The sequence below is a fragment of the Homo sapiens genome, chromosome 12 (assembly GCF_000001405.40).
Source record: "Homo sapiens chromosome 12, GRCh38.p14 Primary Assembly".
NCBI classification, from domain to species: Eukaryota; Metazoa; Chordata; class Mammalia; order Primates; family Hominidae; genus Homo; species Homo sapiens.
The window spans coordinates 108,213,370-108,228,512 of record NC_000012.12 but is presented as its reverse complement, the minus strand read 5'-3'; the positions used below and the strand labels follow the sequence as shown (position 1 = coordinate 108,228,512).

Below are 15,143 nucleotides of genomic sequence, written 5' to 3'. Positions count from 1 at the left end.
TGGCTCTCCAGACTGTGGGGAGTGTCACTGGAGCATGGGCAAAGGTTTCTAGCAGGGGCTTTGGAGTCAGACACCTGAAAACAAATTGCTTTTGTAGATGTATAACTGTGGCCAGTTCCCAATCTCTCTGAATTTTAGTTCTGTCATCTGTAAAGTGGGGATGATACTGCCCTGATCATAGGTTTACTGTGGACTTCACATCACTGAATGAGATGAGGCTCGGCATAAGGACTGGTACATAGTAGATGGTCAATATATTCAGATATTGAGGTGATCCTTCAGGGGCTTCCTTTGGGCTGAGTGTCCTAGCAAGGGATGCCCCCCAATCCCCATCCAAGTGCCACCCACCCTTCATGATACCTCGGTCAGGAGAAACGGGTTTTATTGGGAAAGTTTATAAACAGTATGACTTAAGGTAAGTTCCTCAACTGTTCTGAGTCTCAATCCCCTCCCCCGCCCCACAGTAAAGAGGGCATAATGACTGTTCCCAACTCATAGAGAGTTGAGGGGATTTAATGAAAACATGTATATGAAGGATGCAACACTGAGTCTGGCACAGAGTAAGACCTCAAGAAACTCCAAGTGTTGCTGCCTCCTCCTCTTCCTCCTTCTCATCACCATCATCGTCATCATCACTTTCATCATCACTATCATCAGCACTATCAGCGTCACTCTTATCACTATCATCACCATTATCATCATCACCATCGTCATAATCATCACCATCATTATGATCATCACCATCATCATAATCATCACCATCATCATCATCATCATCATCATCACCATCATTATCATCATGTCTGGTAGCCCCAGGAGACAGAAGAGGAGATAACAGTAAGTGTGGATTCCGCTAGCAAAGGAAGAAGACTAGAAGTGGAAAGGATGAGTGAGACAGGGAGAGAGAAGAAGGAAGAACTTATAGATAAAATGACAAAATCTTAGAATTGGAAGGAACACTGGAGGCCAACAGTCTACAGCTTCATTTTACAGATGGAAAAACTGAGGCCCAGAAAGGGGAAATGACTTGTCCGGGATAACACAGTGAATCTGTGTTGCAGCCAGTGGGAGACTCAGTCTCTCTTCTCATTCAGTCTCACTACAGGAGCCACCAAGGGTCCTCAGTGATGAGGGATAGAGATGGGTCATCAGAACGCTTCCCACCCTGGGAATTCCTTCTGTTGCCCATCCAGGAACTCTAAGCCTGGTGGAGTTCATCAGCCCTGCCCTCTGGCTTGCATGGTTTTCTCCTTGCTGCAGGCTGTGTGGGATGGACTGGCAGGAACACGTCTGGGAGGGAAGCCACTGGGAGTGCATCTGGGGTCCACTGGGGAAGGGCCTAGCTCACCTTGGACTTGTGTCTGGTACACAATGAAGTAACTAGGAGTCCCGCAGCTCTCAAACTCCTCCGCGCTGCACTTCTGGGCACAGAGCTGCTCATCCTCTCTGTCATGGAGCGGGAATCGGGTGGTGGGAAACCCACAGTGGCAGGCGGTGCCTGCAAGAGCTGCCAGCGGGTACTCCTGGGGATGGAGTGGGAGAAGAAGAGGAAGAGAGTTGCTAAATCCCTGGACAGCTTCAGACTCCAAATGGAGAACAGGATTTGCATTTCAACCACTGTCTTCTCTGTCAGTCTCCCTTAACTTGAGGGTCCCCAAATTCCATCCACAAACCCTGCTTTTGTGATTTTGCCCTACCTGTGCACCTACTGTACTATTGTTTACTTATTCGTTTCCTTTAAGTCGATTCACTTTTTGAAACTTAAATTTAAAAGGATACTTTGTATGGCTACCACTAATAGTACTTGTGGACAAGTAGCACTTCCATACATCTCCATACTGTAAATGCACATAATATAGAAACAAAACAAGTGATGAAATTCTACCTAGGCACTCTGGCCAACCAAGACTGTGAGCCTGGGGCTGGCTCCATTTTTCCTGCATAGAGAGTAGTTAAGGGTGAGAGGTGTTGACGCTTAAACACTGAAACGAAGCTTTCTCCTGGAAAGACAACTGAAAAAGAAATCCCTTTCTCGTGGTCATGCAATACACCACAGTAAATGCCCCCTTGATGAGATGGTGATATGAGACCCATGCTTTGGGAAAAGCTGTCTGAGTCTGCTCTTTTAAGCCAAAGGAGATACTGATACCCTGTGTTCCCAGAGTCTTTGTTGGGAGAGCTGCTTCTGATTGCTTTATTTGTTCTATTGAACAGCTAAGTGGGGGCAAGATGGACCTGAGATCTGGCGGGCAAGGGTCTGTCTTTTGCCCAATTTGCTTCTAAACTGGACCCACCACCCCTAGTTCTCCCTGGTAGCCAGTCCAAGACTAATCTGGTAGCAAACCAGGGTCACACTTGTGTGGCTGGATCCACTAGCCAGTGGATCTGTGTGACTCAGAGCCACTGAGTCTGAGAACAGACTCAGACAGCTTTTCCCAAAGCGTGGGTCCCATATCACCATCACACCAAGGGGGCATTTACTGTGGTGTATTGCATGACCGTGAGAAAGGGATTTCTTTTTCAGTTCTCTTTCAGTCCTGCAGGAGAAAGCTTCATCTCAGTGTTAAAGCATTTATACCTCTCTACCCTCAACTACTCTCTAGAATGAATGAAATGCCCAACCATCTTTTTGTGGTGGAGGAGGGATGGTTCTCCTCTGGACACTTGAGTCATTAGCTCATTTTAAGAAAAAGCTGGAGCTACTTGGACATCGCTGAGTGCCAGTTATGTGCCCAGTTCTGTGCTGGGGGTATTGAAGGGGGGCACAAAATATACAAGGCACAGCCCCTACCCTCCGGGAGTTCACAACCTGGCTAGGGAGGAAACATAAACAGTCAGACATCTAGCTCCTTAGGCCGAAGAAAGATCATCCAACCCAAGTGCTATCCAGTGCCAAAGCTCTGAATGACACTGCTGCCTGGCCTCTGCTCACACACCTCCACCAGTGGGGAACTCCCTCTGTCCCAAGGTGGGACTGTCTTTACCTTTACCTGGTAATTTTTTCATGCTTCTAGGCCCAGTTCAAATGTCACCCCTCATGTGGTTTGGCTGTGTTCTCCACCCAAATCTCATCTTGAATTGTAGCTCCCATAATCCCCATGTGTCATGGGAAGGACCTGGTGGGAGGTAACTGAATCATGGGGGTGGGTTTTTCCCATGCTGTTCTCATGATAGTGAATAAGTCTCATGAGATCTGACATCTTTAAAAAGGGCAGTTCCTGTACACACGCTCTCTTGCCTGCTGCCATGTAAGACGTGCCTTTGCTTTTCCTTTGCCTTCCACCATGATTGAGAGGCCTCCTCAGCCATGTGAAACTGTGAGTCCATTAAATCTCTTTTTTTCAAATGAATTACCCAATCTGGGATATTTCTTCATAGCAGTATCAGTATGAAAATGGACTAATAACCCTCATTCCTAAGTATTCGTCAGTATTAAACTCACTTCCTTAAAGGCAGGAAAATCTATTCTGTGTAGCTGCAGCCCCTTAGATCCACGTGAAATGGTCACATCCCTCTCCCACGTCATAGATCCCAGTCAACGACTACATCTATCCCGACTGAGCTGTTGCTTCTCCAGCCAAGCATGTGGTTCCTGCAGCTCTGCTGCATGGTTCCCTCCCCCTGAGTTCCATGGGCCCCACCTTGTGCTCACCTTCTCAGTGCAGAAGTCCACGCATTTGTCCACAGACATGTTCAGCATGGCAGCTGTCACGGGTAAGGCCAGGGAAAGGTTGTCGGGCCTGCGGAAGCAGCCCCGGAACACTGCACTTCCATCTGAAGAGCCAGAGAGAAGAGGACTAGTCAGATATACAAGGAGTCAGATCTGGTTGGGAAAACCACATTCTGAAGAAAGCTCAGAGAAGGCAAGAGTCTTGCCCAAGGTCACAGAGCAAGCCAAAGCAGAGATGGAAAGAGTGGCCATGTTTTCTGTTCTTGAACATGCCTGTTCACAGTCAATGAGCTCGATACATCAAAGAATGTTCTCCTCAACCCTGGCCCCTTTGTCAACAACCCAGGTCGCTGAGATGAGATTCTTTCTGGGCCATGCTATCCCCCTTTCTTTGTCAGATTCCCATGCCTCACTTCCTCATTCCCAACCATGGCAATGCCCCATTCAGGGAAATGATCAAGTACACGGAGGATTTTTGTGATCTCATCAGGGCTGAGTGTTTGAGGACTGAGGGAAGCAAGGATTCTGGGGCTGTCCTGTCCTTACTCACTACTACCAGGGTTCTCCTCTCCCTCTCATTGCCCTGGGCTTTACGGGAAAAGTCCTGGGCCTCAGAAGTCTCTACCTACCCAGTATTGGGCACCGACAAGCTGCAAGGGACTGACATGTCAGAGGCAATCCCTTTAAGAAAATTTAACCCAGAAATCGTGCAGCTACACAATAAAAAATTTGGAGCCCATTGTCAAATCTTCAATAGAAGTCATCCCTTAAGAAAATATTCAGAGATGTTGTCTTAGGTTGGGGCTACTGAAGCAGAGCCTGAGACAAATGTTTCATTGAAGGTGTGCTCTCAGAGAAAGAAAGCGGGAGGCAGGACCAGACAGAACTAAGTGAGGATGTGATCTCAGCTGGGTGCCACCTCCATCCTGGTCTCACGGCAGGGATCAGGAGGGGGCTCTGGATGAGAAATTGCACTACAGAGTTGGCCCCACCTTAAGGAAAGGGGGCTGGCTTGCCTTGGCCTTGTCTATCCTAGCTTCCAATGTCAGTCAGTTTTTGGCTATGGGCTGTCCCCCAGGCTGGGGCGTAACTTCCTGGGAGGGGCTGCTTGCTCCTGTTGGGCCCAAGGCTATTTTTCAGAGAAGGGGGCAGTTGTGAGCCATTGATCACCACCAACAGTCACCACAGGAAAGGGGACTTGGGTGGGTGCCTATAGCATCCAGTACAGATGTGCACAAAGATTTATCAATAGGGATGTTCATTGCAGCATTTTAAAAATTAACAAGTGAAGGAGTAGAAACAACCTAGGTGTCTAGCAATGAGATAATTGTGCCAATAATGTCTGGAATGACAACACACAATGGAATTCTACTGAAAGTGGAATTCCATTGAAAAGAATGGTGTTAAAGGTTATTTTAGCCAGGTGAAGATGTGTTTAAGATACAAAGTTAAATAAAAACTGAGAATGTAAAATTCTACAGGTTATAAAATATCAATTTTGTAAAAAATTAATCTCTAGAGAGACATATACCAACATTTTAATAACTGTGATGTCCCTGGACAGTAGGTGTGAAGGATAAATTTTATGTGTCAACTTAGCTAGGCCATGGTGCCCAGTTGTTTGGTGAAACATTGGTCTAGATGTTGCTATGAAGGTATTTTATGTATGTGATTGACATCTACCGTTAGTTGACCTTAAGTAGAGGAAATGACCCTTGATAATGTGGGTGAGCCTCATGCAATCAGTTGAGGGACTTAAAAGCAAACCTAAGGCTTCCTGGAGAAGAAGGAATTCCATCTCAAGATCGCAGCATTAACTGCTGCCTGAGTTTCCAGTCTGCTGGCCTGCCATATGAATTTCGGACTTGCCAGCTCCCGCAATTGCGTAAGCCAATTTCCTTAAAATAAATCTCTTAATATATCTATCCACATATCCTATTGGTTTTAATCCTGTTGGTTCTGTTTCCCTAGAGAACTCTGACCAATCAAGTAGGAATATAGGTAATTTTTATTTCCATCTCTTTGTAAAACTCTTTTCTAACTTTTTTCTACAATGAATATGTATTTTTATGTAATAAAGACAAAAAAAGTGAAGCCAAGGCAGGAGGATTGCTTGAGGCCAGGCGTTGAAGACCAACCTGGCCAACATAGTGAGACCTCCATCTCTATTAAAAAAAATTTTAAGTGGCCACTGTTAAATCTTTTGAAAGGCTGGTGATATACATTTAAAATTGGGTTGTTTCTCAAATTCTGAGTTGTATATACCCTTCCAGAAGCACAGCCATCCACATATAACAAAGGGCATTGTTAACACAGTGTGATCAAAACCATCAGCACAAGAACAGACCCCATTTATTGAATACCTATTATGTGTCATCTGCTCTGCTGAGCACTTCAGAAACATCAGCTCATCTCACCTTCTTGAAAATCCTGCAAGGTTCATTGTAAACTCTCATTTTACAGATGAGAGAAACAGGGCTTCGAGAGAAGAGGTTGCAAGACAAATCTAAGGACCCATCGTTTGCAAAAACTTATTGAGCCTCATCTCAGAAGCAAAGTGTTAGCCTTTGGAAAAAAGCAAAGCAAGTTGCAGAAACCATATGTCTCTCTCTGTAGCGGTGTCTGGGTCTATCTAGAGTGTAAAAGCGTTTTTTAGCATACACATATATATTTATATTTATGTGCAGAGAAGAGGATATGGAATAACTCCCTGAGTAGAAGGGTGGGGGGAAGGTGTTTATGAATGATAATTTTATATTTTAGCCATCAAAGACTCCCTAGTGATTCTTTCTACCACATGGCGCCTGATAGCCTGAAGTTGCTCATTGCAGTGACAAGCCAAGAAAACTAAGAGGACATTAGGAATTTGGTTAAATGATGAATTTCCAAGGCATCCCCCAGACTCCTGCTGTCTTAGCTTTCTGGGTCTCTGGCTTTATCCTGGTGAGACAGGTGGCAGTGGTAGTGGTGATAGTGTCAGGATGCTGCTGATCTGCTGCGTGGTCCCTCCAGGCCTCAGTTTCCCCACATATAAACGAGGACTGGGAGTTAAACTATGCAGTAACTCTCATGCCTACTACCCTGAGAACATTCAAAGAGGTGTGGGAACGCCTGCTCCAATGATTTGAGGCCACTGGCACTTGAAAGTTTGGGGCCAGAAATGTGCATGCCTGTTCTGTACAGGACAGCCCTTCACCTCCTAAATGAGCACATGCACATCCAGATGCCACTAGTGCCCTGTAAAGAAACACTGGACAGTCTTCCATCTTGTGGCCTGGGTTGCTGAGAGGGATGCCCTGTAAGGTCACCCAGAGGATGGAGTGCAGTGGTGCAATCTTGGCTTCCTGCAACCTGCACCTCCTGGGTTCAAGTGATTTTCCTGCCTCATCCTCCTGAGTACCTGGGATTAAAGATGTGCACCACCACACCCAGCTCAATTTTTGTATTTTTAGTAGAGATGGGGTTTAACCCTGTTGGCCAGGCTGGTCTGGAACTCCTGACCTCAAGTGATCTGCTTGTCTCAGCCTCCCAAAGTGCTGGAATTACAGGCGTGAGTCACCACACCCACCGGGAAAGTGGGCATTTGAGCTAAAGATTTATGGCAATGAGGCGGGAAGTCCCAAGCACTGTGGATGAACCCTCACTTAACCAGAAAACTCAGTCAGCCGGATGCTAACTCAGGTCACCGGGCAACCAGATGCTGGCTTTTCCTCCCTCTTTCCACTCCACTTGAATTTGCTGAGTTCCTGCTGATGCCAGGCTCCATGCTGGGAACTCTGGGTCCATTCAGTCTGCACAGCAGCCATAGGCGATAGATGCTATGAGTACCTCCATCTCACAGATGAGAAAACTGAGGAGGCTGAGGGAGGCTAGCTGGCTTCCAGTGTTACAGAGCTGACAAACAACAGAGTGAGATCGAAGCCAGGTTTCTGTGTCTCCAAAGCCTGTGCTTCTTCCAATAATAATGATACTATTATGAATAGATGCTTATATTAATATAATGTTGGCAGGGTGCAGTGAGTCACACCTGTAAGCCCAACACTTTAGGAGGCCAAAGCAGGAGGATCCCCTGAGCCCAGGAATTTGAGACCAGACTGAGCAACACAGCAAGACCCTATCTCTACAAATATATATATATATTTTTAATTAGCTATGTGTGGTGGCACACAACTGTAGTCCCAGCTACTCAGGAGGCTGATATGGAAGAATTGCTTGAGCCCAGGCAGTCGAGGCTGCAATGAGCCATGATCATGCCCCCGCACTCCAGCCTGGTTGACAGAGTGGGACCTTGTCTTTAAAAAAATCGTAATATTGTTGTGATCATTATTGCTACCATGTACTGGTTGTGTGGTATGTGATGGGAAGTAGGCTGAGCTGTTCACACATGTGGTCTCATTGAACTCTCCCATTCACCCTGGTCCTATGGGGCTTCCCATTTTTACAGATGAGGAAACTCAAGGCTCAGAGGACTGAAACTGCTTGATACAGGTCACCCAGCTTGCAAGAGTTAGTCTGACATCTTTGATATTTATCAAGTGCCAGGCATTGTGTAAACGCTTGATATATCTTATCCAATGGAACCCTCCTAACCCTTAGCAGGAAGATCTCATTCTCTCCATTATAAAGAAGAGAAAACAGGTGCAGAGGGGAAGTGACTTGCCCAAGGCCATACAGCTGACAAGTGGCAGTATCTGGATTCCAACCTAGGAATGTCTGAACTCCAAGTTTGCACTGTCCTGGGCTGTCTCTTTTTAAAAAGCCACCCCTGGCTTTAGCATTTCACAACAGTGGGACATTGATTTTCTCTCTCCCACCCTTCGTGTCCACTCTGCTTTTCACCACAAATCACTCAGAAAGTCAGGGCTGTCACTCTGAGGTTGCCTGACACTGGAGTCTGATTATTCTTTAAGCATCCTCAAATGTCCAGATCTTGACCCTGGGTCTCTAGAACCAACTTCAAATTGTTAACCTGCCACCAGGATCTTATTTGAGGGACCATCATGAAATCCTAGAGCTTGGAGGGTTGCTACAGACAGTATTTTGGGGGTTGGGGCCAACGGAGGCCCCTTTGGGGTTGTCCTGGGTACCCTTGCAGGGATCCCAAGCCCACCAGCTCTTATCCTGTAATGTGGGTCCTTTCTTGAGTCCTGTTCCACTACCCTGGTGGGGTCTGAGGCCCCCAACACAGCAGTGTGTTGGGAAGACACAGTCGTGTCTGAAGAAGTGAGTGGTGTTTGTGCATGTGTGTGTGTTTGTGTGTGTCTGTGCATTAATGGGGGCAGGAGAGGCTGTGTGAGGGCAGTTGTGGGTCTGGCTGCACTGAGATTGTTTGGGCAGTGGGACATGACACTGAATGTGTATCTGTTGCTGTGCACACAGTGTGCATCTGTGTATGAAAGGGTGTGAGTGATGATGTGTGCCTCCTATGTGTATGTGTGACTGTGCTCATGCCAGTGTGAGTGCAGATCCACCTGTCTGGGCATGTGGATGCCGACCTCTGGGAATGCAAATGTGATCCTGTGGACCGTGCTCATCTGCACATAGTGGGTCTGTCTATGGGGGAACATAGGAGTCTATGGCCCTGTGCATTTGACTTTGCACTTCTGTAGATAACTTGTGTGGTTGTGCATCAAATCAACCTCTAGGAGGGCAAGTCTTACCATAAGGTGTTTATGCACGTGGAGACAATAATCCCACGGGCTCTCTCTGGGTTGCCTGGCAACCAGCTGGCTGAGAAGAGGGCTCCTCTTCTAGTAGAGGATGAGGCTGGGCTTCAGCCAGTCCCTCATGAGCCCAGCTCAATGCCACCAGGGGTTTGACATTTCCCAACCATCCCCTCAACAGCTGGCACCTAGGTTCAGATAAAAATACTTATTTCCCCAGTGCAAGGGGAAATGCATCATAAGAAGAGAGAGTAACTTGATGGGTAGGTCCCTCTGATGGAGCCCAGCCCAGGTGGAGTCTTTTCTCAGGATGCCAAGAGCACTGGGGACCCTTGCACCTGGTGCCCACAGCCAGGGACACTGCTGGTGTCTGTCCCGGTTGTTTGCATCACAGTGGACCTCATATACAAGTCATCTCCGTATGGGAGTGTGCATGTCTGACTGTGGGTATGTGAAAGCTGAAGCAAGCCCAGGGTGGTCTTTGGGGTCCTTCACCCTCAGGAGTCACCCTTGCATCCTCTAAGAGCATGGCCCCAAATAATTGAAGGCACTGGGGCATCACTCAGGGCCTGTGGGTGGCACACATGCATCTTCCTCTAGGCTTCCTTGGCCAAGCGCTGTGCCCTCTCCCCTGCCCCCAAGCTGGGCACCCATCTTTTGGGCTCAGTCCACTGATGGGTCACATTAACATGCATCTCCAGATGAGCTTCAGGGGACCCATCCTAGCCCAGAGCCCTAGGAGAGGCCTTCCATTCTGGCACCACACCAGAGAGCCATGGCATTTCCCTGGACTGACAGGCTCAGGATGAGCCATCCTGGCTGAGGAACAGAAGACTTAGCAACTAGGAAACACGAGCTCTAATCCCGACTCTGTTTCTCCTCTCTGGAACTCAGCATCTTCAGCTGTAAAATGGGGAACTCTCCTTCACATGGCACCCACTGGCACCTCTGCCCTTCTTTGTCTTTGACCATGGGCAAGTTTCCTCTCATTTCAGAGTCTTAATGTTCTCATCTCTAAAATGGGGGCATAAATATTGGGTGGATCATTCAGAGATGGACATGGATAAACTTTGTGAGCTGCAGGTACTAGAGAGGGGGCAGTCAAAGGTCCGTCTGCTTGCCAGCTGTCCTTAGACTGAAAAGAGGGGGAGACCCATGTGGAATCCCTAGGCTGGCATTTCTCCATGTGATTTCTTCCAGCCTGCCTAGATATTAGGAGGCCAGAGTAGGAAGAGGAAGGAAGCTCTGCAGAGACTGGCCTCCCTTTGACATTTAAGCACCTGCTAATGAGTCCCTGACTCTCCCAGCTTAGAGAGGAGGGCTAAACTGAATGCTCTGAATACCAAGTAAGGTGAAATTTTTAGAGGACTTAAAGGGCCCGAGATGGATTAGAAGCTACTGCTGTGCACCTCTTTGGGCAAGATGTGTTCTGGGGGTGCAGTGAGGGGGATAAGTTTGGGAAGTCAGTTCCAGGAGCAGTTAATCTCCTGGGTGGAAGATATTCCTGAAGTCTGGCCTATTTTACTTTGTGGGGAAACGGTGTGAAGTCACAGAGGGCTTCCTGATGTCCGGTGGAAAGGTTGGAGAGCCTTCCAAGCCAGGAAGGGAAGGGTTTAGCTCGACACCCAGGGACCTGGGGAGCTCTCTGGAGACCATCTCTCTCTGCAGGTGGCTCTCCACTGTCTTGGTGATCTGGACACAGAATACACACGGTAGCCAAGACATTTAATCTCCCCACTTCCCTCATTTCCTGCATCTGCAATATGGGTCACCTGGCCCTCCCCTTCAGTGGGTGAGAGGCTCTTTCATCTCTTATGTCTGAAAATGAAAGGGAAGTGGCTAGGGAATCTCTTGGCTTCCCTGACACTCTCCTGTGGTATAAAGAATTCTGGATTTCCATAGCAGTGAAAAGATGCTTTCTTGTTTGCAAAAGGCTCTGGTGTCCCGAGGAAAGGGCCTTGGCTTTAAGTCAGACAGACCTGGGTCAGCTGCTTACTTAGCTGTGTGCCATTGGGCAGGTGTCTTCACTTTGCTGAGCCTCAGTTTTTCTCATCTGTACATGAGGATTGTTGTATCTACCCTGCACAGTTGGGGTGAAAGTCTATGAGATGGCATTTACAACAGTGTCTGAGACATAACAAGTACTCAAACCATGCCACTTCCTGTTCCTTTCATCACTTGCCCATAATATGTGGAAGGTGGCTAGATCCCATGCACTGTTTGCTGTCAGTAGTCCATTAATATGCCTGCTCTTGGCATTTGCCATTCCATTATTGGCTGATAGTGACCATGACTCTGCCTTAGGGCCTGTGAGGGACAGGCTGGGCCTGCCAGGGTGTTAATTTCCCCAGGAGCCACCCTCAGCCAATGATGGATGAGAGTTGGAGGAAAAAAAAATACAGCAGCTTTCTGCTCCTCAGGTGGAACACGTCTGAGGTTTGTTCAATACCATCCTCCAGAGCTCTCCAGTGGGGTTAAGCTTCCATTGTCCTCACTAGAGACCTGCTTTGTCAGGGACCCTGTATTAGCTTTCTTCCCCATCTAACCTTTCTAGTCCCCTATGGGTGCATCTTGGCAACACCTTCCAGGTAGCCAAGGTTCACATCCCTGTATTGGGGGAACCCAACTTAAAACACCTTGGATCTTTGAGCACTTTCAGTTACAAGGAAAATCCTTCACAGATTTCAGGGCCACTGCTTTTCACAGCTCATAGTCTATGTGAATGGTACTCCCTGGAGTCATGAATGACAACAGCAGTAGCCCTGGATGGCATCTTCCTAATGATCAAACCTTTCTATATAATAGCAATGATGGCAGTAATAACAGCTGTTTACTCTATGTCATTAGTGCTAAGTATGTTGTGTGTATTATATCTCAGTTAATCCTCACAGCAACCTATGAGGTGAACAATATTATTATCCTATTTTGTAGGCAGAGACCCTGAAACTTAGCAAGATTCAATTACTTTTCCAGGTCACACAGCTGGTAGGGAGCAGAGCTGGGATTTGACCCCAATCTTGTTTGACATCACATCCTTGTTTCCCATCTCTACTATCCTGAAGAAGATCTGCTCAATTTTAACAAGTTGGGCTCCATAGACCCCCATTCCAGCTACCTGAATTTTCCAGAAATCCTCTCGGCCCCACAGTGGGAGTCCAAGGATTGCAAAAGCCCATGCCCCACATTCTGACAATGTCAGCTCTGCATTGCCAGGCTAGCTGGGATGGTACATGACCTCAGCAGCTTGGGCTTTTTACTAGCAAGAAGCAAGCAGAGCAACTGTTCATCAACTCCCTTTGCTGGGGGCAGATGAAGAACAGCCCGGAACCAGCTGCAAGTGTCTCTGAAGTCCTATCATCTCTTTGTTCTGGAGCTTCACAAAAATGAGGTAAATGTCACCAGGCATCAGCTTAGAGGCAGCCGTGGAAGAGTTCTCCTTGGTTTGAAAGAAGCCACCAACCCCTGGGTAATTAGGCCAAGCTCCACTGCATTAAAGATGCTGGTGAGGAGGAAAGGCAGTGAGCTGGAAGCTGTTAATGGCTACCTAGCTACCTATAATCAGAGAGAGATTGAATTACACAAAGAGCCTAACTGTCCAAAGAGAATTCAAGCCAGCTATTTTTAGACATTACCAAAGGCTCCTGTGGGCTGTTGGAAATTCAAATCACTTGAATTGGGTGCTTCTCGGAGTGAATTGGGGAGTTTCCATTAGGAAAAAGCTACTCTGTAACAGGCACTGTGCTAGGTGCTTTCTAGTCTTTACCTCACTCGGTGGCCCCAGAAATTGTGAAAGATTGGGATTGTCTTCATTTTATAGACGAAGCACCAGACGCCTAGAAAGAACGAGTGGCTTGGCCAAAGTCAATACAGCCATCAGGTGAGAGAGTTGGGATAGAAACATTATGCCTGATTCCAAAACCTGCATTGCTCCCAATATTTTCCTGTCCAATGGCCTAGATTTTGCTTAGGGGAGAAGAGCAAACCAATTCTCTCCCATCATGATGCAGAAGAAGAAATATTTTCTATCATTCCCTTGGCCCTACAGAGAAGAGCTCATGGGGTCCCATATGAATTATGAAATTCAGGGCTCCCAGACCTACAGCAAAGGGAAGTAGAAGAAGCCTCCAGGTCTAGCAAAGAAGGAACTAGACATGGTCCATTCCAGCAAATGTGACTGTCCCCTAATCATCTGAGGGTTCCCCTCAGTAAAAGTAGTTGGAATGGAGTATCAGTGAACATAAAGCAAAGCACTGCACAAAATTCTCCTAACTTTGGGAGACAAAAAATTGCCGGAATTAACAACAGTACACAAAAACCACCATGTAAAAAATTGTGAACCATAAACAAGGTATCTATTTTTTCAGTGATAGTGTAAGCTTCATAATGTCTTCACTAAACTAGGAAGGAAAAAACAAAAGGAAAAAAGTACACATCCCTGGGAGAGGCTGATTTGCCATCATTGGGGTTTTAGGCAGTGCAGTGGTCAGCACCATGGACAGCCACCCTTGGGACTCAGGAGCCCCGTTCTGATGAACTTTGCAACCCAAATCTTGCAAGAATCTTTCAGGCAAATGAAATTTCTTGCAACATCGCGTAAAGCCATAATGTTCTCAAATCACCAGCAGGTCTCTATCCCTGGGAGGAGAGCTACACTTGCCGACACATTTAGCAAACTGCTGTGAAAAATGTAATCTGACCAAGAAAGAAGTCCATTTCTCAGTTCTTTTGTAACAAGGGCAAAGAGTCCACGTGCCCGAGAGTCTGTGTCAAGGCAGAATAGCAGGGTGCCTGCAGACATTTGCTTTGCTAACCTTTTAATGCTCTCACTATTATGGGAACATTCCATCACCTCACCTCAGAAACACGTAGGCTGGCATCCTGTGCGAGGCAGATGCCCCACCAGAATGGTCCTTGGGAGATAAAAACCTTCCTTTAGATCTCTCCAATCATTAAAGGTTCTGTGCCACTGCTTAGGAAAACACAATTAGGACACAGTGTTAATACCAACTAATGACTCTACAAATGAAATCTGGTTTCTGCCATAGCTGTTTGCTGGAGTGTTCGCTCATTTCTCTTGCCTGATGTAATACATGCCAGAGTTGTGTGCCAGTGACTTGGAAGGCATCCCTTTCTGACTTCTTTGTGTACAAAGCAAATCCTAGGCATAATCCTAGGAAATCGAAGGCACCACTGAGTCAGAGCAAAGACATTGCAGATTTCACATTGCCTAGAGTCTGGAAACAAGGTGGAAGGAGGGATCAGGGTCAGGGAAGGAAGGAGATGAGCTGGAGCCAAGGAGCTCCCCTAAAAGAGAGATGGTGTTCTGAACCAAATTCCAGGGTCAGGGTGTCTACAACACTGTAGCAAGTGGGTATACTAACTGGGATTCATGGACCTGGGTTCAAGCCCATGGTCAGTCCCTAAGAGGCACAGTAGCCTTGGAAAAACCATGCCTGCCAGTCATTTCCTGCAATAGGCACCAGGCTTTTGTGCACTCTTTTATTTGCCTAATTCCTCTCCCACTGCTTGGTGATTTGTCTTGAGTCTGGGTATCCTCCTCTTCTCTGCCAGGCAACAACCTTTCAAGGCTCTTGTCAAATGTCCCCTCCTTTATCGAGCTGCCCCCTTCTTTGTGGAGCCTCCCCCAGTGCTGTTCAATTTAGCCATTTCTATTCTCTGAGCCACAGTTTCTACAAATATAAAATGCAGACATCAGTGAGAAAGGTGCTTCCAACATAGCATTCAACACATGACCTTTGCTGACTCTGGACTTTTGATCATGAATTAGAACACATGGCTGTCCCTTTCAC

At 47.0% G+C, this 15,143-nt stretch overlaps 1 protein-coding gene and 1 long non-coding RNA gene across 15 annotated transcripts in view; one reads left to right on the top strand and one right to left on the bottom strand.

The window, feature by feature from the left end:
- WSCD2 (WSC domain containing 2) overlaps positions 1-15,143 on the bottom strand; it is a 121,250-nt gene that overhangs the window by 22,025 nt on the left and 84,082 nt on the right. For all 13 annotated transcript variants that reach the window (XM_017020244.2, XM_017020243.2, XM_017020248.2 and 10 more), the window contains 2 exons: positions 3,653-3,774; positions 1,349-1,523 (listed from right to left, as the gene is read on the bottom strand). In XM_017020244.2, coding sequence (XP_016875733.1) covers positions 1,349-1,523; positions 3,653-3,774 — 297 coding nt within the window. The remainder of the gene's footprint in view (positions 1-1,348; positions 1,524-3,652; positions 3,775-15,143) is intronic.
- The window catches only part of LOC124903077 (uncharacterized), a 49,492-nt gene that overhangs the window by 11,941 nt on the left and 22,408 nt on the right, over positions 1-15,143 (top strand). The window lies entirely within an intron of this gene.